This window comes from Homo sapiens, chromosome 22, assembly GCF_000001405.40.
Source record: "Homo sapiens chromosome 22, GRCh38.p14 Primary Assembly".
NCBI classification, from domain to species: domain Eukaryota; kingdom Metazoa; phylum Chordata; class Mammalia; order Primates; family Hominidae; genus Homo; species Homo sapiens.
The window spans coordinates 31,785,577-31,807,072 of record NC_000022.11 but is presented as its reverse complement, the minus strand read 5'-3'; the positions used below and the strand labels follow the sequence as shown (position 1 = coordinate 31,807,072).

General features: G+C 43.5%; 1 protein-coding gene across 39 annotated transcripts in view, besides 1 other annotated feature; it reads right to left on the bottom strand.

Annotated features, from left to right (window-relative positions):
* The window catches only part of DEPDC5 (DEP domain containing 5, GATOR1 subcomplex subunit), a 154,066-nt gene that overhangs the window by 100,961 nt on the left and 31,609 nt on the right, over nt 1–21,496 (bottom strand). For 38 of the 39 annotated variants that reach the window (NR_157126.2, NR_146296.2, NR_157128.1 and 35 more), the window contains 8 exons: nt 14,971–15,040; nt 14,256–14,328; nt 9,370–9,473; nt 8,417–8,491; nt 4,235–4,369; nt 2,850–2,911; nt 2,158–2,231; nt 882–951 (listed from right to left, as the gene is read on the bottom strand). Coding sequence is in view for 33 of the 39 variants with exons in the window: in NM_001364318.2 (NP_001351247.1) it covers nt 882–951; nt 2,158–2,231; nt 2,850–2,911; nt 4,235–4,369; nt 8,417–8,491; nt 9,370–9,473; nt 14,256–14,328; nt 14,971–15,040 (663 nt within the window). In the remaining 6 variants the exon portion in view is untranslated. The remainder of the gene's footprint in view (nt 1–881; nt 952–2,157; nt 2,232–2,849; nt 2,912–4,234; nt 4,370–8,416; nt 8,492–9,369; nt 9,474–14,255; nt 14,329–14,970; nt 15,041–21,496) is intronic. The other variant, NR_157125.2, reaches the window with a different exon arrangement.
* Nucleotides 16,459–16,518: an enhancer, noted in NCBI's record as "active region_18872". NCBI's record gives its function as "activates an Ori minimal core promoter by ATAC-STARR-seq in GM12878 lymphoblastoid cells {active_cell/tissue: GM12878}" and the evidence as "EXISTENCE:reporter gene assay evidence [ECO:0000049][PMID:35858748]".

The window sequence follows — 21,496 nt, the reverse complement described above, 5'->3', positions numbered from 1 at the left end:
AAAACAAGAATTCCCACTCTTGTTACAATTTTCATTTATTTTCTTGGTTTGTTTGTTTCCAGAGACAAGATCTCACTTAGCCACCCAGGTTAGCGTGCAATGGCGCAATTATAGCTCACCACAGCAATGGATTCCTGGGCTTGGGCAATCTTCCCGTTTTAGCCTCCCAAGTAGCTGGGACTACAGGTATGTGCCAATACACCTGGCTAATTCTTTTTTAGTTTTTACAGAAATGGGGTCTCACTATATTTGTTGCCCAGATCGGTCTCAAACTCCTGGCTTCAAACAATCCTCCTTCCTCAGCCACCCAAAGCACTGGGGTTACAGGCAAGAGCCACTGCACACAGCCAGAATTTTCATTTCTTTATACTAAGATCTGACCTTTTTATCATATTTCCCCTTTGCTGCAATGCATATCTGCATCTTTGTCTTTATCCCCACTGGTATCTGAGTGGCTTCAACATCTGAATAAAACAGTCAGGTCACAATAAAACGAACTCTTAAACAAACAAACAAAAAATGAACTCTTGGTCTTGGTCATATTTTTCTCAAAGGTATTTCACGCAGTCTGGCCTTGGCCTTGTTATTTATTTATCTAATGTATAAAGTTATAAAGTTTGGGGATGAATTTCTTAACCCTGTTCATGGCCATTGGGAAAGATGAGGGTACCTCAGGACTAAAATAACCCTATCAATGCGTGATAGTCCACAAAGGCTCTCTGCTGATTAATGAAATCTACCTTCTTGGCTGGGCAGAATGGCTCATGTCTGTAATCCCAACACTTTGGGAGGCTGAAACAGGAGGACTGATTGAGTCCAGGAGCTCAAGATAAGACTGGACCACATAATAAGACCCCGTCTTAACAAAAATAAAAACCTACCTTCTTTCCTGCCAGTTTTATTCGTGGGGTGAAACTATTACAAAAGAGCTGGCTTTTGGATGTGTAGAAACTGTAAAAGAAACAAACAGAGTCATTAATCTAAATTCCCTTTATTTTAAAACTCAAAACACAGTTAAAATACTAGGCATGGATCAGCCCTCCTGACATGGGCTTTGTTCTCAGCTTCACTAATCTTCCCAATTTTAACTTCTTTTACAAGAATTCACTACAAAACATTAGTTATGTTTTGTTTTTTGGTAGAGACAGAGTCTGGCTACACTGACCAAAATGGTTTCAAACTCCTGGCCTCAAGCATTCCTCCCACCTCAGCATCCCAAAGTGCTGGGATTACAGGCATGAGCCACTGTGACCGGCCTGAAATTGCTACTTTTGTAGGTCAAAAACAGTCTAATATCATGATATCAAATAGTATAAACTAATAGCTGCAGCTTTGCCATGAACTTGCTATTCAAGACCAGGTTGGCCAACACAGTGAAATCTCGTTTCTACTAAAAATACAAAAATTAGCCGGGCGTGGCGGCAGGCACCTGTAATCCCAACTACGCAGGAGGCTGAGGCAAGAGAATCACTTGAACCCGGGTGGTGGAGGTTGCAGTGAGCCAAGATCATGTCACTGCACTCCAGCCTGGGTGACAGAGTGAAACTCCGTCTTAAAAAAAAAAAAGAAAGAAAGAAAGACAACCCAGAGAAGGATAGAATGCTCTGGAAGCACTGAAGAAAAAGTGGCTGTTAGCTATCAGGGCAGCACAGGAGGAATTCATAAAAGAGAGATGCTGGAGTTGGATCTTGGAAGAAAATAGGCATTTTCAGGAGAAGGGTAGGTGGAATAAGATTAGTGTCATAGTTCAAAAAGATGAGGCACTGGCACTGGCAGAGGGATGAGAAAAGCCATCCCTGAGCTGGAATCAGCAGGATTCCATGTAAAGAGGCGCGGGGACTTCTCTAGAGCTGAAGGAGGTCAGGTACAAATGTTGGTCTTCTACAGTCTGTGGGAGTTGGGAATAGAAGGACATGGGAACTGCAGAGGAAGTAAGTCCTTCAAATTTTGTTTTTATTCTTTTTCACCATAGACTGTTCCTATGATACTGCTACTGCTTTGTGTGTACAGAGCTTTGAGCAAATGTTAGAACTTGGTTTCCACATTTTCTTAACAAAAGGTTTAGTGCCATAATAAGAACTTAACAGATTTAAAGAAAAATGGCAAGGAAGCTGTTCAAAACGCTTATCACCTACTATTGATCGAGATCGCACCCACCTGTGGTTTATCCAGTGAGGGATATTATAGTCATCGCCCAGACGAGAATCACGGGGAGCACTCCGATTATGGAGCTGCAAGGAGAAAAATGAGAGCACAGATAAGCTACAGAACAAGTAGGTTTTGGAACTGCTCTAACTTTTCTGTTTTTCAGGTTTTTAAAAAAAATTTTTTAGGGCTGGGCGCTGTGGGTCATGCCTGTAATCCCAGCAATTTGGGAGGCCAAGGCGGGCGGACCACCTGCAATCAGGTGTTCAAGACCAGCCTGGCCAACATGGTGAAACCCCGTCTCTACTAAAAATACAAAAATTAGCCTGGCATGGTGGCAGGCGCCTGTAATCATAGCTACTCGGGAGGCTGAGGCAGGAGAACTGATTGAACCCGGGAGGCAGAGGTTGCAGTGAGCCAACATCGCACCATTGCACTCCAGCCTGGAGGACAAGAACAAGACATCGTCTCAAAAATAATTTTTTTAGAGATAGAGTCTTGCTTTGCTGCCCAGGCTGGAGTGCAGTGGTTATTCATAGGCATGTTCATAGCAAACTATACCGAAACTCCTAGGCTTAAGGGATCTTCCCACTTCAGCCTCTCGAGTAAGTGGGACTATAAGTGCATGCCACAGCGCCTGGAATTTTTCTCTTTCTAACTATACTCCAACTGGCCTTTAGTAAACAAATCCGAAATCTAATTACCTTGAACAATGGGACAGCATGTAACGGTTGCTCTCCCATGCACACCAAATCCACACCAATTCCTAAAAAAAGAAAAGACAAAAAGAATTGTGGGGAGGGAATGGCAGAGACAAGTGTCCCTATCTATAAATCATGTTATTTAAATGGGTAGTAGGCAAAGCTAACTTACCATTGTATGATTTATAACCTCATAGTGCTGCCTATCCAACAAAGAAGTAAATACATTCATTTTGTCTGTTTCCTCTTTTCCAAGTGCCCTACTAACGTATCATTATTCGGTGCTTGACAATTAGCCTTTGACTGTCCTACAGGTCATGACTTGTTTAAAAAAAGACAACCAAACTTCCATGTTTAAATTTTTAAGGCCAGAAAGGAACAGTAACTTTGTAATATCTCAGTAAAAAGTAAAACAATCCACATCACTTAACAGAGCTTCTTTAGTGGCATCAGGATTTACTTTCCAAACTCCTTTTTTTTTTTGACAGTCTTGCTCTGCTGCCCAGGCTGACATGCAGTGGCGTGAGATCACGGCTCACTGCAACCTCCACCTTCTGGGTTCAAGCAATTCTACTGCCTCAGCGTCCCAACTCCATCTTGTTGATGAAACAAATCAAATTGGGGGGTGTGGGGCTGAGTTGGGGATACGAGGCACATCATGGAGGAAGGACTGGACTAGATGACCTGATAGTGCATCTGAAAATGGGCTGACAGCGGCTGGGTGTGGTGGCTCATGCCTGCAATCCTAGAACTTTGGGAGGCCAAGACGGGCGGATCACAAGGTCAGGAGATCGAGACCATCCTGGCTAACACGGAGAAGCTCCACCTCTACTAAAAATACAAAAAAAATTAGCCGGGCATGGTGGCGGATGCCTGTAGTCCCAGCTACTTGGGAGGCTGAGGCAGGAGAATAGTGTGAACCCAGGAGGCGGAGCTTGCAGTGAGCCAAGATCACACCACTGCACTCCAGCCTGGGAGACAGAGCGAGACTCCGTCTAAAAAAAAAAAGAAAGAAAGAAAATCGGCTGACAGCACATGGGTCCCTTGAAATCATCCCTCCAGGAAGGCTTCTCTAGTGCCAAATATGTTTGGGGAACTCAGAGTACCCTGACACAACCTTTAGAGAAAAACAACCTACACTAACATATTAAAAACTGAGGAAGACCTGTCATTATGGAACCTGCTTATCTTTGCATGACCCAGCATTTCCCAAACTGATTTGACCATGAAATTTTAGCACCTGACACCTATTGACATCCACAGACGTTGTGACACACAGAACACTATGTAGAGCTCCTCACACTCTAAGAAGTCAGTGAAGCTCACAGTTCTAAGGGGAAATCAGGCTAGGAACATGTGGAGACAGGGCACAAACCAGAGAGCATTACCATTATCTATCATCCGCTGCTTGGTCAGGATCATGAGTAGGCGGTCCACTTCAAAGACACCCACCCCGGGCGTGATCACCACTGACATCTGCCCAGTTCGGTCAAAGTTGCGGTTGATGTAGTGCTTATCAAACACTAGAAATAAAACAAAAATTCCACAATAATGATGTTACAGCTTTTCAGAACCCTGTCACAGACAAGCATCTCTACACTCTCAGAGCATTCTGCCCATATTTTTATTATAGCAACTGCCACATTCTAGTTAAATGTATACGCATCTGTCTTTTCTCTTCCATATTAAGAACTACTTGACCACAGGAATAAGTCGCTGTCACCTTTGTTAATACCCCTCATTGACACCTCATACTTGCCCTGTGCAGCCTTAAATGCTCAAATTTCATGCTGTGAGGGCTGGGTATGGTGGCTCATGCCTGAAATCCCAGCACTTTGGGAGGCCAAAGCAGGCGGATCACTTGAAATCAGGAGTTTGAGACCAGCCTGGCCAACATGGTGAAACTCCATCTCTACCAAAAAATACAAAAATTAGCCAGGCATGGTGATGTGCACCTGTAATCCCAGCTATGTGGGAGGCTGAGATGGGAGAATCACTTGAACCCAGGAGGCAGAGGCGCAGTGAGCCAAGATCGTGCCACTGCATTCCAGCCTGGGCAACAGAGCAAGAACCTGTCTAAAAAAAAAAAAAAAAAAAAAAAATTCATGCTGTTAATTTAAACCTTCCATAAATGAATCTGTAGTAAAACTTTGATTATATTATTTTATATATTATATATTATTTTAATATTATATATATTAATGATATAATTAGATTATATTAGTATTAATTTAAGACACTATTTAAAAGAGTAGACCAAAATCTTGGGATGACTTTGTAAATCTGGCAAGTCACTTTTTATTTCTAGCCTCTATGATTCTTACTATGAAAAATCAGTGATATTCCAATATGACAAGAAGATTTACTAATAGAAGACATTATGCTCTAGAATTCCCTGAGCACCTGGGTACAGACATGTGGGAAGATGATATACATAGTGATGTGTACGCGTATCATCACTTCCACCTCTGGCCAGTGGCAGATGGACACCTAACTGGAGCTGAACAGATCAGACCCTCTCTACCAGGAATGTAAATTCTGAACAGAGAGCAGAGACAGGGTTGCTGGAAGCTGAAATATGGCTCTCATAATTCCTGCTGCTATGGTTCCCAGAGCCACTAAGGTTCTTCGACATGGTGTTTGAGCCTTTCCTGGCTGCTCCATTTAAGCCTCTGTATCCTTACAGTAAATTTCGCTTTTTGTTTAAACTAAATCAGTACATCTCTGTTATTTGCAAACAATATATTTCGGCTAACACATAAATGCCGGGATAATCATACCACACTGCTAACAATGGTTCCCCTTAAAAAAGGACTCACACTGGGGAGCAGGAGAAGGGTATCATTTTTTACTTGATATACCTCTCCATATTCAAATTCTAGTAACATGGTTACTTTTACAATTTTATTTATTATTTATTTATTCATTTATTTGAGACAGTCTAACTCCATCACCCAGGCTGGAATGCAGTGGCACAATCTCAGCTCACTGCAACCTCCACCTCCCAGGTTTAAGTGATTTTCCTGCCTCAGCCTCCCAAGTAGCTGGTATGACAGGCATGCACCACCATGCCTGGCAAGTTTTTTATGTATTTTTAGTAAAGATGGGGTTTCGCCATGTTGGCCAGGCTGCTCTTGAGCTCCTGACCTCAGGTGATCCCGCTGCCTAAGCCTCCGAAAGTGCTGGTATTACAGGTGTCAGCCACTGCAGCCAGCCTATTTATTTAAAAAAAAAAAAAAGAATTTTTTTTTGAGATAGTGTCTTTTTCTATCAACCAGGTTGGAGTGCAGCGGCGTGATCTCTGCTCGCCACAACCTCCACCTCCCAGGTTCAAGTGATTCTCCTGTCTCAGCCTCCTGAGTAGCTGAGATTACAGGTGTGCGCCACCATGCTGGCTAATTTTTGTATTTTTAGTAGAGACAGGGTTTCACCATGTTGCCCAGGCTGGTCTTGAACTCCTGACCTCAAGTGATCTGTCCGCCTCAACCTCCCAAAGTGCTGGGATTATGGGTGTGAGCCACCATACCTGGCTATTTTTGTAATTTTTTTTAAAGTAGATTTTAATTTTTTAAAATTTTTATTTTAATTCTTATTTTTTAAGTAGATTTTTAAAATATTACCTAGAAGCAGTTGAGGGATGGGGTGGAAAATAATAACACAGTTCGAGTAAGTCAAAGAACCCAAGGAAGATCCTTCCAGTTCCTGACCATGAGAAGCAAATGACTACCAAATTAACTGGCCAACAGAAGACCCAAGAGCTAAATGTTGGTCATTACAACCATCCAATGAGAAGCTATTGCTTTAAATTAATTTTGGGGGTAGGTGAGTGGGGGCATCATCACCTAGGTCTGGGTCTGCAGGCATTCATAAAGAGACATGCATAGCTGTCAGAGGCCTTTGAACCAGAGCAACTCCATCTTGAATAGGGGCTGGGTAAAATGAGGCTCACACCTGCTAGTCTGCATTCCTAGGAGGTTAGACATTCTTAGTCACAGGGTGTTTACAGTTAAGGGAACAGGATAATAATGTTTCTCCAACAGACTCAGGACTTAATAGACCCAGGAAATGCCCTGATGTCCCAATATCTTAAAAACAAAAGCATTCTTAGTTTAGGAGTAAGTTTTGCAGCCAGGTGCAGTGGCTCACACCAGAAATCCCAGCACTTTGGGAGGCCAAGGTGGGCGGATCACGAGGTCAGGAGATCGAGACCATCCTGACCAACATGGTACAACCCTGTCTCTACTAAAAACACAAAAATTAGCTGGGTGTGGTGGCACGTGCCTGTGATCCCAGCTACTTGGGAGGCTGAGGCAGGAGAATCGCTTGAACCTGGGAGTTGCACTGAGCAGGGAGATCATGCCATTGCACTCTAGCCTAGCGACAGAGTAAGACTCTGTCTCAAAAAAAAAAAAAAAAAAAAAAAAAAAGGCCGGGCATGGTGGCTCATGCCTGTAATCCCAACACTTTGGGAGGCCAAGGTAGGTGGATCACGAGGTCAGGAGCTCGAGACCAGCCTGGCCAATACGGTGAAACCTCATCTCTACTAAAAACACAAAAATTAGCCGGGCATGGTGGTGCACACCTGTAGTCCCAGCTGCTCAGGAGGCTGAGGGCTACTCAGGAGGCTGAGGCAGGAGAATCACTTGAACCTGGGAGGCGGAGGTTGCAGTGAGTCAAGATTGCACCACTACATTCCAGCCTGGATGACAAAGCGACACTCCATCCCAGAAAAAAAAAAAAAAAAATAGCATTAAGAGAAATACCTAATGCAGATGATGGGTTGATAGGTGCAGCAAACCACCATGGCACACGTATATCTATGTAACAAACCTGCACATTCTGCACGTGTATCCCAGAATTTAAAGTATATTTAAAAAAAAAAAAGGCCAGGTGCTGTGGCTCATGCCTATAATCCCAACACTTTGGGAGGCTGAGGCAGGTGGATCATGAGGTCAGGAGATCGAGACCATGCTGGCCAACATGGTGAAACCCCGTGTCTCCTAAAAATATACAAAATTAGCTGGGCGTGGTGATGCGCACCTGTAATCCCAGATACTCAGGAGGCTGAGGCAGGAGAATCGCCTGAACCCAGGAGTGGGAGGTTTCAGTGAGCCAAGATCGCATCACTGCACTCCAGCCTGGCGACAGAGCAAGACTCCATCTCAAAAAAAAAAAAAAAAAGTAAGTTTGCTTTAAAGATAATAATATAGATTCTTGAGAAAGACAGCAGTTACACAAAGATGAACAATCCTTTGTCATGAGTGCTTGCGGCAGAGCATCTCTCCCCCATGACTTTTTGCTTTGTTATATATAAACAACCACTGTACCTAAGGTGGACGTGTTCCTCCTCTTGCTTTCGGGAATGCCCTGCTCTTTCTATGGAGTAGCTATTCTTTTATTCCTTTACTTTCTTAATATACTTGCTTTCACTTTATTCTGTGGACTGGTCCTGAATTCTTTCTTCTGCAAGATCCAAGAACCTTCTCTTAGGGTCTGGATCAGGACACCTTTCCGGTAACATAGCCATGTGGTAGGCAAGATGCTGGCTCATGGCCGGCATCCTTACTCACCATTGAATGACAGATTGATGGCCTCCAGGTAGTTTCCTTGTGCTGAGGTAGAATTATCTCCTTGAGGAAAGCCCTCTGAAGCAAAATATGCAAGAGAAAGAAAAACATCTCATGAAACATGAACTTTTTTTTTTAATTTTAAACGAAGCCTTGCTGTGTCACCCAGGCTGGAGTGGAGCAGCACAATCTTGGCTCACTGCAACCTCCACCTCCCAGGTTCAAGTGATTCTCCTGCCTCAGCCTCCCGAGTAGCTGGGACTACAGGCGCACGCCACCACACAAGGCTAATTTTTGTATTTTTAGTAGAGACAGGGTTTCACCATATTGGTCAGGCTGGTCTTGAACTCCTGACCTCGTGATCCGCCTGCCTTGTGCTGGGATTACAGGCATGAGACATCACACCTGGCTGAAAGATGAACTCTTAAATAAGTGGCAGCTGAGCATGGTGGCTCATGCCTGTAATCCCAGCACTTTGGAAGGTGGAGGCAGGAAGATCGCTTAAGACGAGGAGTTTGAAACAAGCCTGGTCAACACAGCGAGACTCTTGTCTCTACAAAAAAATGAAAAAATTATCTGGGCATGGTAGTGCATGCCTGTCGTCCTAGCTACCCGGGAGGCTGAGGCAGGAGGATTGCTTGAGCCCCAGTGGTTTAAAGTTACAGTATAATTGCTCCACTCCAGTCCAGCCTGGGTGACAGAGTGAGACTCTGTCTCAAAAAAAAAAAAAAGGAAGGCATCTGGCTCCACAAGGCCTCACTCCCTGTATTAGGGACACTGTTGAACTTACGGCATACGAAATGTACAATTGGATCCAACTGGAAACAGAACCCTGACCAAAAGCAGAAACTACACACGGCAATGGGAGAGAAACAAGCACACATCTCTTCTCTGTCTCCCAGACCCCTCCTACACTTCCTTTCCCCGCCGCACCATCTATTACATGAATGCAGTACCTGCCTGTTCCAGTCGCACCAACACTGGATACTGGATGAAGAGTTTTTTAATGGTTACGAGAAGTGAAGTCCATTCTTCTCTTCTCTCATTCTGCACCACCACTCTGAAAAGAGTATTATCATAAAATGGATATTGAGCAGCTGATATGGTTTGGCTCTGTGTCCCCTCCCAAATTTCATCTCAAATTGTAATACCCATGTGTCGAGGGAGGAACCTGGTGGGAGGTGACTGGATCATGGGGGTGGTTTCCTCCATGCTGTTCTTGTGATAGTGAGGGAGTTCTCACGATATCTGATGGTTTAAAAGGGGCAGTTTCCCCTGAGCTCGCTCTTTCTCCTGCTTCACCATGGTAAGACATGCCTTGCTTCCCCTTCGCCTTCCACCAGGATTGTAAGTTTCCAGAGGCCTCCTGAGCCATGCAGAACCATGAGTCAATTAAACCTTTTTTCTTTATAAATTACCCAGTCTTGGGTATGTCTTTACAGCAGTGAGAAAATGGACTAATACAGCAACTTTACATACAGAACATCAGGTTCTTTACAAGGTTTCAAAAAGAGTGTAATTGGAGTACAGTGAGCTGAGATAACCCCACTGCACTCCAGCCTTGGTGACAGAGCAAGACTCTGTCTCAAAAAAAAAAAAGATTCAGTGAGCTTGTTTTTCTTCCAATCCAATTGGGAAAGAAGCATTAAAAAAAAAAAAAAAAGAGGCTGGGCATGGTAGCTCATACTTGTAATTCCAGTACTTTGGGAGGCCCAGGCAGGTGGATAAGGTGGTCAGGAGTTCAAGACCAGCCTGGCCAACACGGTGAAACCCCATCTCTACTAAAAATACAAAAATTAGCTGGGTGTGGTGGCAGGCACCTGTAATCCCAGCTACTTGGAAGGCTGAGGCAGGAGAATTGCTTGAACCCAGGAGGCGGAGGTTTCAGTGAGCCGAGATCGAGCCACTGCACTCCAGCCTGGGAGAAAGAGCGAGACTCCATCTCAAAAAAAAAAAGAGCACTCACTGTTGGTGAGAACACAGAAATTGCTGCTAGGAAAACAAGATCTTCTACTTTAATGGTTTTGGAGCATACACTGGCTGTACAAATAGAAAGCCTTGAAAACACAGACTATCCTTTGACCTAATGGCTCCATTTCTGGCAATTTATCATAAAAACTAAGGATATGCTTAAAAACCTATCTGTAAAAATGTTCACTGGCAATACTGTTGAGAATAGTGAAAAGCTGGAAGTCACCTCAATTTTCAACAATAGTAACCCAATGTAATTTCTATGTAGAAATAAAAAATGATACAGTGGGCCAGGCAGTGGCTAACGCCTGTAATCCCAGCACTCTGGGAGGCCTAAGCAGGCAGATCATGAGGTCAGGAGATAGAGACCATTCTGGCTAACACGGTGAAACCCTGTCTCCACTAAAAAATACAAAAAAAATTAGCCGGGTGTGGTGGCAGGCACCTGTAGTCCCAGATACTCAGGAGGCTGAGGCAGGAGAATGGCGTGAACCTGGGAGGCAGAGCTTGCAGTGAGCCAAGATCCCACCACTGCACTCCAGCCTGGGCGACAGAGCGAGACTTCGCCTCAAAAAAAAAAAAAAAAAAAGATACTGTGGAGCAGTGTGTTTAACATGGATTGGCATTTGTGATACAGTAAATAGAAAATGAAGGTTTATGGCCGGGCACAGTGGCTCACGCCTGTAATCCCAGCACTTGGAGAGGCCAAGGTGGGGGGATCACCTGAGGTCGGGAGTTTGAGATCAGACTGACCAATATGGAGAAACCCCATCTCTACTAAAAATACAAAATCAGCCAGGTGTGGTGGCACATGCCTGTAATCCCAGCTACTCGAGAGGCTGAGGCAAGAGAATCGCTTGCATCCGGGAGGCGGAGGTTGCAGTGAGCTGAGATCGTGTCATTGCACTCCAGACTGGGCAACAAGAGCGAAACTCCGACTCAAAAAAAAAAAAAGGAAATGAAAGAAAATGAAGGTTTAAAACATATAAAAAGAGAACCATATGGGTCAGGCGTGGTGGCTCATGCCAGCATTTTGGGAGGCCAAGGCAGGCGGATCACCTGAGGTCAGGAGTTCGAGACCAGCCTGGCCAACATGGTGAAACCCTGTCTCTACTAAAAATACAAAAATTAACCAGGCATGGTGGCGGGTGCCTGTCACACCAGCTACTCAGGAGGCTGAGGCAGGAGAATTGCTTGAACCTGGAAGGCGGAGTTTGCAGTGAGTTGAGATTGCACCACTGCACTCCAGCCTGGGTGACAGTGAGACACTGTCTCAAAAAGAAATAAAAACAATAAAACATGTAAAAAAATCACATGGAGGCCCAGCGCAGTGGCTCATGCCTGTAATCCCAGCACTTTAGGTGGCTGAGGGCGGTGGATCACCTGAGGTCAGGAGTTCAAGACCAGCCTGGCCAAGATGGTGAAACCCCGTCTCTACTAAAAATAAAAAAATTAGCCAGGTGTGATGGCAGATGCCTGCAATCCCAGCTACTCCGGAGGCTGAGGCAGGGAATTGCTTGTACTAGGGAGGCGGAAGTTGCAGTGAGCTGAGATCACGCTAGTGCACTCCAGCCTGGGCAACAGAGTGATACTCCATCTCAAAAAAAAAAAAAAAAAAAAAAATCACATGGAATGTGTGATCACATCTCTATGAAAACTAATTTTTCTCCTAAATACAGATAATAGGGGTTGATTCACCAAAGTAATGAAGACTATATTTGGTAGATGGAATTGAGTGTGCTTTGAATTCCTCTCTACTAAACTATACTGGTGTGCTTTTGTTGTTGTTGTTTTGTTTTTTTTGAGACAGGGTCTCACTATGTCACCCAGGCTAAAGTGCAGTGGCATGATCTTGGCTCACTGCAGCCTCAACTTCCCAGGCTCAAGTGATCCTCCCACCTCAGCCTCCCAAATAGCTGAAACTACAGGCGCGCACCACTGCACCCAGCTAAGTTATGGTATTTTTTTGTAGAGACAGGGTTTTCCATGGTGCACTGGCTGGTTTCAAACTCCTGAGCTCAGGCAATGTGCCTGGCTTGGCCTCTCAAAGTGCTGGGATTATAGGTATCAGCCACCACGCCTGGCCTATTTTGTGATTTTCCTAAAATGAACCTGTATTGTTTTTGCAGTAAGAAAAAGATAACCAGTTTCTCTCAATCTAAAAAACGTTGAGGATGACTTTTTAATGACATAAACTTTCATATATTAAAAATATATAGTCATATACACCTATAAATCTACATTCATAATTCATATATTCATATTCATGCTTTATATAGTATTTTGTATAACTGATCATGCTCAAATTAATTCATATTCATTATACAGATAAAACTGCATATACTGTTAAGTCAGAAGAGCTCTCATGGTTCCTGGAATTCACTGAATTAGAGGAATGCAGAATTCATCTGCATAAGGGGATGAGTGGAGGTGTCAGTACAGCAGATGGCCCATCACTCTCATAAAATTCTCCTAGGGGTACAGGATCCAACAAAAGATCAACAAATAATTTAAAGTATAATCTGTATGAGGTTGAGGAATACAGTGGTCAAAAAGCATCGACTCTGAACTAGATTGACTGTGTCAGGTCCATGCTCCACCACTTAATATTGTGTGGACTTTGGATAAGTTACTGAAACTCTGTGTCCAAATTTCCACATCTGTAAAATGGGGTAACAGTATCTATCCCACAGGGATGCTGTGATATTTAAATAAATCAAGTCATGTAAAGTGCTTAGAAGAGTAACCCATTCATGCTAAGTCCCGTAAAAACAGTAACTATTACTATCTGATAATCATCTCAATTAGATAGTGGTGTCAGCCAGGCATGGTGGCTCCCGCCTGTAATCCCAGCATTTTGGGAGGCCGAGGTGGGTGGATCAGCTGAGGTCAGGATTTGAGACCAGGCTGGCCAACATGGCGAACCCCATCTCTACTAAAAATACAAAAAAATTAGCCAGGCGTGGTCACGGGCGCCTGTAGTCCCAGCTACTCGGGAGGCTGAGAAACGAGAATCCCTTGAACCTGGGAGGCGGAGTTTGCAGTCAGCTTACATGACCACTGCACTCCAGCCTGGGCGAGAGAGTGAAATTGTGTCTCAAAAAATAATAATAATAATAATAACGTTAAACATGATCATGATATTGTGGTCAGATATAAAAATGCCTTTTTTGAATATGTATAGAAATAAAATATTACAATATTGATAATTTACTTAGTCAATGGCACTGAAAAAAACAGATGAATCAAATATGACAAAATAATAACTGTTAAATTCAGGTATTGGGTATACGGGCTCATTATATTATTTGCTCTTCTTCTCTGAATGTTGAAATTTTTCACAATAAAACATTTAGAAGGTCTAAATGCAACATGATATCTTGGAGACGGCAAGTACGAGTGCTAAAATCTAAAAAACATCTGAATTTCCTTAATAGTAATGTACCAATGTTAACCTAGTTTTGACAAATGTAACTTGGTTATGAAATGTTAATATTAGAGGAAACAGAGCAAAGACCATGCAGGAACTGTGTTATCTTTGAAACTTCTCTGTAAATCTAAAATCATTACAATTACAAAATTAAAAGGTTTATTTATTTATTTATTTATTTATTTATTTTGGAGACAGGGTCTCACTCTCTCCCAGGTTGGTGTGCAGTGGTGTGATCTCAGCTCACTGCAACCTCCACCTCCCAGGCTCAAGTGATCCTCCCACCTCAGCCTCCCAAGTAGCTGGGACCACAAGAGGCGAATTTTTTGTATTTTTGGTAGAGACAGGGTTTCGCCATGTTGCCCAGGCTGACTTATTTTTAAGTTAGGAAAGAAACAACTAATAAATAAATAAAAAGTATAGCAAAGCACCCAAACATACTTGTAAAAGTCTTCATAGAATCTCCCCTTGTGATCCTGTCGAATTGAGGCTCGGTTTATTTCAGGAAATTCATCTGAAATAGAGAAAACGGAGTATGTAGTTCAGGCTGAGAAGAGAAATTCAGTTTTGTCAGCTTCCTCTTCTGGGTTAAAGATTTGCATCACAAAAAAATAAAGATAACTGTCTTTTTTTTTTTTTTTTTTTTTTTTTTTGAGACAAGGTCTCACTCTGTCACCCAGACTGGAGTGCAGTGGTAAGATCTCAGCTCACTGCAACCTCTACCTCCTGAATTCAAGCGACTCTCCTTTCTCAGCCTCCTGGGTAGCTGGGACTACAGGTGCATGCCACCACACCTGGCTAATTTTTGTATTTTTAGTAGAGATGGGGTTTCACCATGTTGGCCAGGCTGGTTTTCAACTCCTGACCTCAGGTGATCCGCCCACCTCAGCCTCCCAAAGTCGTGGGATTACAGGCGTGAGCCACTGCACCCAGCCAACTGTCTATCTATTAAGTTGGTTTTAAGATGAATCACAGCCCACAGACCTCTTGCATCCACTAACGGACTGTGCTACTTTCCCTTTTACACTGTCCCCATAACAGAAAAGATGGGAAGGGTGGAAAAGTGCAACGAGGAAAAAAATGAAAGGAAATGGCTGGGGTGGGGTTGGGGGAAGCTTAACAAAAACATAACTGTAGGAGAGAAATAGTTACTCACCAACAGATTTTGCATCATAGAAAGTTCTAGAAAACAGGACCACTGTCACTTCATGACTACAGTTCTTCTCCTAAGCATGAGTAGAGAACAACAGGGTTGAAGTTTGTTTCATTTACTTCACTATGAAGCAGACTGCATGCATATAATATTCTTTTTTTTTTTTTTTTTTTTTTTTTTGAGACGGAGTCTTACTCTGCCACCAGGCTGGAGTGCAGTGGCGCTATCTTGGCTCACTGCAACCTCCGCCTCCTGGGTTCAAGCAATTCTCCTGCCTCAGCCTCCCAAGTAGCTGGGACTACAGACGCACGCCACCATGCCCAGCTAATTTTTGTATTTTTAGTAGAGATGCGGTTTCACCATGTTGGCCAAGATGGTCTCGATCTCCTGACCTCGTGATCCGCCTGCCTTGGCCTCCCAAAGTGCTGGGATTACAGGTGTGAGCCACTGTGCCCAGCCCTTTTTTTTTTTTTTTTTTGAGGCAGTCTCATTCAGTTGCCCAGGCTGGAGTGCAGTGGCACAATCTCGGCTCATTGCAGCCTCCACCTCCCAGGTTCAAGCAATTCTCCTGCCTCAGCCTCCAGAGTAGCTAGGATTACAGGTGGGCCACCTGGGTAATTTTTGTATTTTTAGTAGAGACAGGGTTTCACCATGTTGGCCAGGCTGGTCTCGAACTCATGGCCTCAAGTGATCTGCTTGCCTCGGCCTCCCAAAGTGCTGGGATTACAGGTGTGAGGCCCAGCTGCACATAATATTCTTAATCCAGGTGGCTCAGCAGCAGTGCACAGTATTGAATAGCTTCAGGTAATTATAGGCTGCAGTGCAGGGGACAGAGCACTGCTGGGAGTCAGAAGCCCTAGATGGAGTCCTGAACCTGAAACTTGCCACTATGTGACTTTAGGAAAGTTATCTAAAGTGCCAGGAATGTGGAAAGTGATTGGAAAACTGCAAATCAGCATTAAGTAATGGTGACTGTCTCCCAGTTCCCGAGTAGCTGGACTACAGACACGCGTCACCAGGCCCAGATAATTTTTGCATTTTTTATAAAGACAGGGTTTCGGCTGGGCGTGGTGGCTCAAACCTGCAATCCCGGTGCTTTGGGAGGCTGAGGCGGGTGGATCACCTGAGGTCAGGAGTTCGAGACCAGCCTGGCCAACATGGCGAAACTCCATCTCTACTAAAAGTAGGAAAATTACCCAGGCAATGTGGCACGCGCCTGAAATTGCAGCTACTCAGGAGGCTGAGGTAGGATAATCACTTGAACCCAGGGGGTGGAGACTGCAGTGAGCCAAGACTGTGCCATTGCACTCCAGCCTGGGCGACGGAGCGAGACTCCGTCTCAAAAAAAAAAAAAAAAAGAAAAAAAAAAAGAGAGATAGGGTTTCATCATAATCCCCAGGCTGGGCTCAAGTGATCCACTTGCCTTGGCAAAGTGCTGGGATTACAGGCGTGAGCCACAATGCCAGGCCTACAGTGTTTTTTAATTTCTGCAGAATTGTGGTCTAGGGAACAAGAACAGCACCCATGGTGGTGGATTTAAGAATCAAAGGCACTCCCACACCCTACTAGTCTCATAGGATGAGGGTGGGGTTTGCTCTGGACTCAGCGGTATAAGCCAAGGCAAAGAACTACCTTTGGACAGGGACAGGGACTAATGAGAATAAACATTTCCATGGAGTCTGGAGATCAATATCCTAGAAGTAGGGTGTTTACAGATGAACATCAAAAGTGGCTTGCAACAGTTAGCTAGCAAGCGCAGTTTCAGTTCCTCCTGGGTCTCTGAAGACAACAGCCTATACTGACCAACCCCATCTTTATCTTAAGTATGCTTAGTGACTACAGAATTCAACACTCACTATATAAGGCACATAATATAATGTACATTTCATGGATGTATCTCAAGTGGACAGAAATTCCTAAATACAAGCCACAGTACCCAGAGCAGAGTGCTAGGAAACAGCAGACCTTCACTGACTGCCAATTAATTCACGGGAGTCCAAGAGCTCCAAAATCAGCACCCTTATCTAATTTTAGTGCAAGTGATATACAGGAAAACACAACGGGCTCACAATGGGCTGATATGGGCATGGAGTGTCTCAACTCATAAGTGATGTGGTGAGAGGGTCTATTATTATCTCCATTTTGCAGCTGAAGAAATGGAGCCTCAGAGACTAATCCTTGGAGACCAAAAAGCTAATCAGCCAGGCATGGTGGCCTGCGCCTGTAGTCCCAACTACTGAGGAGGATGAAGTGACAAGATCCCTGGAGCCCAGGAGTTCAAGACCAGCCTAAGCAGCATAGCAAGACTCTGTCTCTTAATCAAAAAAGAAAAAAAAAAAAGCAAGCTGATGAGATCATTTAAAACCCAGTCTGCCTTAATCCAAACTCTACTCTTTTACACTACATAATGTGACTTCAAATACTTTTTCATCAAAATGTTTTCATGTGAAATCAAGGTGAGATAATCGAATGAAATAATTTTTTAATTGTGGCAAAATACATATAAATATTGCCATCGTGACATTTAATACATTCACAATGTTGTATAACTATCACCATTATTTGGATCCAAAACATTTTCATCACCCCAACAGGAAATCCCAAACTGATGAAACAGTCACTCCCCACCCTCAGTCCCTGGCAACCACTAATCTCTATATTATATATTTACCTATTCTGGACATTTCATATAAATAAGATCTTATGATTTGTATTTGATCCACTATGTCTGGCTTCTCTCACTTAACATGTGTTCAAGATTCATCTATGCTGTAGCATGTGTTAGTACTTCATTCTTCTTTATAGCAGAATAATACTACATTGTATGGATATACATTTTATTTATCTATGCTTTAGCTGACAGACATTTGTTATTTGTGTTATCCTACTTTTTAGCTAATATGAATAATGCTGTCAAGAATACGGGCTAGGCCCATAATCCGGCACTTTGGGAGGCCAAGGTGGGGAGATCACTTAAGGCCAGGAGTTCGAGACCAGCCTGGCCAACATGGTGAAACCACATCACTACTAAAAATACAAAAATTAGCAGGGTAAGGTGGCGCACACCTATAATCCCAGCTACTTGGCAGGCTGAGGGACGAGAATCGCTTGTACCTGGGAGGTGGAAGTTGCAGTGAGCCATGTTCGAGATCGCAGCACTGCACTCCAGTCTGGGCGACAGAGCGAGACTGTCTCTAAAAATACATAAATAAATAAAATAAAGAATATGGGCCCAGTCGCGGAGGCTCACGTCTGTAATCCCAGCACTTTGGGAGGCCAAGGCGGGCGGATCACCTGAGGTCAGAAGTTCGAGACCACCCTGGCCAACATGGTGAAACCCCGTCTCTACTAAAAACACAAAAAAATTAGATGGGCGTGGTGGTGGGCGCCTGTAATCTCAGCTATTCGGGAGGCTGAAGCAGGAGAACTGCTTGAACCCGGGAGGCAGAGGTTGCAGTGGGCCGAGATCACACCATTGTACTCCAGCCTGGGCAACAAGAGCAAAACTCTGTCTCAAAAAAAAATATGGGCTAGGCACTGTAGCTCACGTCTGTAATCTCAGCACATTGGGAGGCCAAGGTGGGAAGATCACTTAAGCTCAGGAGTTCGAGATCAGCCTGGATAACATAGTGAGACCTAGTTTCCACCAAAAAAAAAAAAAAAATTGCCCGGGCATAGTGGCACATGCCTGTAGTCCTAGCTACTATAGGAGGCTGAGGAGGGAGGATGGCTTGAGCCCAGGCGATCAAGGCTGCAGTGAGCTATGATTGCGCCACTGCACTCTAGCCTGGGCAACATGGCGAGACTCTGTCTCAAAAAAAAAAAAAAAAAAAAAAAAAAATACAGTCATCCTAGTGGGTGTGAAGTGGCATTTCATTGTGGTATTAGGTTGCATTTTCCTAATGACTAATGATCTTGAGCATCTTTTCATGTACTTGTTGGACATTCATGTATATTCTTTAGAGAAATGTTGATTCAAGTCCTTTGCCCATTTGTTTTTTTAATTATTTTAATTATTTTTTAATTTTTATGGGTACATAGTAGGTGTTTAATATCTGTGGGGTACATGAGATGTTTTGATACAGGCATGTAATGTGAAATAATCACATCATGGTGAATGGGGCAGCCTTTGCCCATTTGTCAATTAGGGTTTTTTCTTTTCGTTCTTGAGTTACAGAAGTTCTACATATTTTCTGGATAACAGACTTTTATCAGAAAATAATTTGCAAATAATATTTTCTCCCATTCTGTGGGTTGTCTTCTTTTTTCTTCTTCTTTTTTTTTTTTTTTTAAAGAGACAGGGTCTTGCTCTGTCCTATCACCCAGGTTGGAGTGCAGTGGTACAATCATACTGTAACCTCAAATTCCTGTGATCAAGGGATCCTCTTGCCTCAGCCTCTTGAGTAGCTGAGACTAGAGGCATTTGCCAATGCAGCCAGCTAATTTTTTTCTATTTTTATTTTTGTAGAGACAGGGTCTCGTTTTGTTGTCTGGGTTACTCGAACTTTTGGCTTCACACGATTCTCCCACCTCAGCCTCCCAAAGTGCTGGGATTAAAGGTGTGAGCCAGCAGGTCTGGCCTCTTTACTTTCTTGACAATGTCCGTTGATGCACAAAAGTTTTTAATTTTGAAGTCTGATTCAACTGCTTTTAATTTGGATGCCGTGCTTTTGGTGTTATATCTAAGAAACCACTGCCAAATTCAAGGTTATATGAATTTCCCAGCCAGGCATGGTGGTTCTATCTGTAATCCTAGCAATTTGGGAGGCCAAGGTGGGTGACCGCTTGAGCTCAGGGGTTTGAGACCAGCCTGGGCAACATGGCAAAACCCCATCTCTATAAAAAAACACAAAAAATTAGCTAGGTGTGGTAGCAAATGCCTGTAGTCTCAGCTACTAAGGCTAAGGCAGGAGAATCACTTGAGCTCAGGAGGTCAAAGCTGTAGTGAGCCATGATCGCTCCACTGCACTCCAGCCTGGGTGACAGTGAGACCCTGTCTCAAAAAAAAAAATTATAAAACTTTTTAGGCTAGGCACGGTGGCTCACATCTGTAATCCCAACACTTTGGGAGGCCGAGGCAGGCGGATCACCTGAGGTTAGGAGTTCAAGACCAGCCTGGCCAACATGGTAAAACCCTGTCTCTAGTAAAAATACAAAAAATTAGCTGGGCATGGTAGCGGGCACCTGTAATCCCAGCTACTCAGGAGGGTGAGGCAGGAGAACTGAACAGGTGGAGAATTGAGGCAGGTGGGAGAATCACTTGAAAACAAAAGTTAAAGAGTAGCCCGGGCAACAAAACGAGACCCTGTCTCTACAAAAATAAAAACAAAAATTTTAGCTGGCTGTGTTGGCAAATGCCTATAGTCCCAACCACTCAAGAAGCTGAGGCAAGAGGATCCCTTGAGCACAGGAATTTCAGGTTACAGTATGATTGTACCACTGCACTCCAACCTGGGTGACAGGACAGAGCAAAACCCTGTCTCTTAAAAAAAAATTCAGTTCTTTTTTTTAGGTTGTTTGAACCTGGGAGGCGGAGGTTGCAGTGAGCTGAGATTGCACCACTGCACTCCAGCCTGGGCAACAGAGTGAGACTCCATCTCAAAAAGAATAAATAAATAAAATAAAAATAAAACTTTTAAACATAAGGAAAATTTTTTCCCTTTTTTTTTTTTTTTTTTTTTAGCTACCACATCCAGCTAACTTTTTGTATTTTTTGTGGAGACAAAGTTTTCCATATTGCTGGGGCTGGTCTGCAATTCCAGGGCTCATGCAATCTGCCCACCTCCGCCTCCCATGAGCCACCACACCTGGCTCAGTTTTATAATTTTAGCTCTTTATTTATTTATTTATGAGATGGAGTCTCACTCTGTTGCCCAGGCTGGAGTACGGTGGCATAATCTTGGCTCACTGCAACCTCCGCCTCCCAGGTTCAAGCGATTCTCCTGTCTCAGCCTCCTGAGTAGTGGGATTACAGGCACCAACCACCACGCCTGGCTAATTTTTGTATTTTTAGTAGAGACAGGGTTTCATGACGTTGGCCAGACTGGTCTCAAACTCCTGATCCGCCCACCTCGGCCTCCCAAAGTGCTGAGATTACAGGTATGAGCCACCGCACCCAGATGACTTTAGCTCTTATATTTAAGTCTTTGATTCACTTTGGTTACATTTCATATATGATTTGAGGTGAGGGTCCAAATTCGTTCTTTTCCATATGGACATTCAGTTGTTCCAGAATAATTTGTTGAAGAGAATATTCTTTCTCTCATTAAATGAACTTGATGCCCTTGTCTAAAATCAACTGACCATAGATGTACGGGTTGGTTTCAATTCAATTCCATTGATCTATATATCTATCCTTATGCCAATATCACACTATTCTGATGACTGAGGGTTTTAGTAAGTTTTGAAATTAGGAAGTGAGAGTCCTCCAACTTCGTTCCCCTTTTACAAGATTGTTTTAGCTATTCAGGATCCCTTGCAATTCCACATAAATTTTAGGATCAGAAAAAAAAAAAAAAGGCACTGGTAT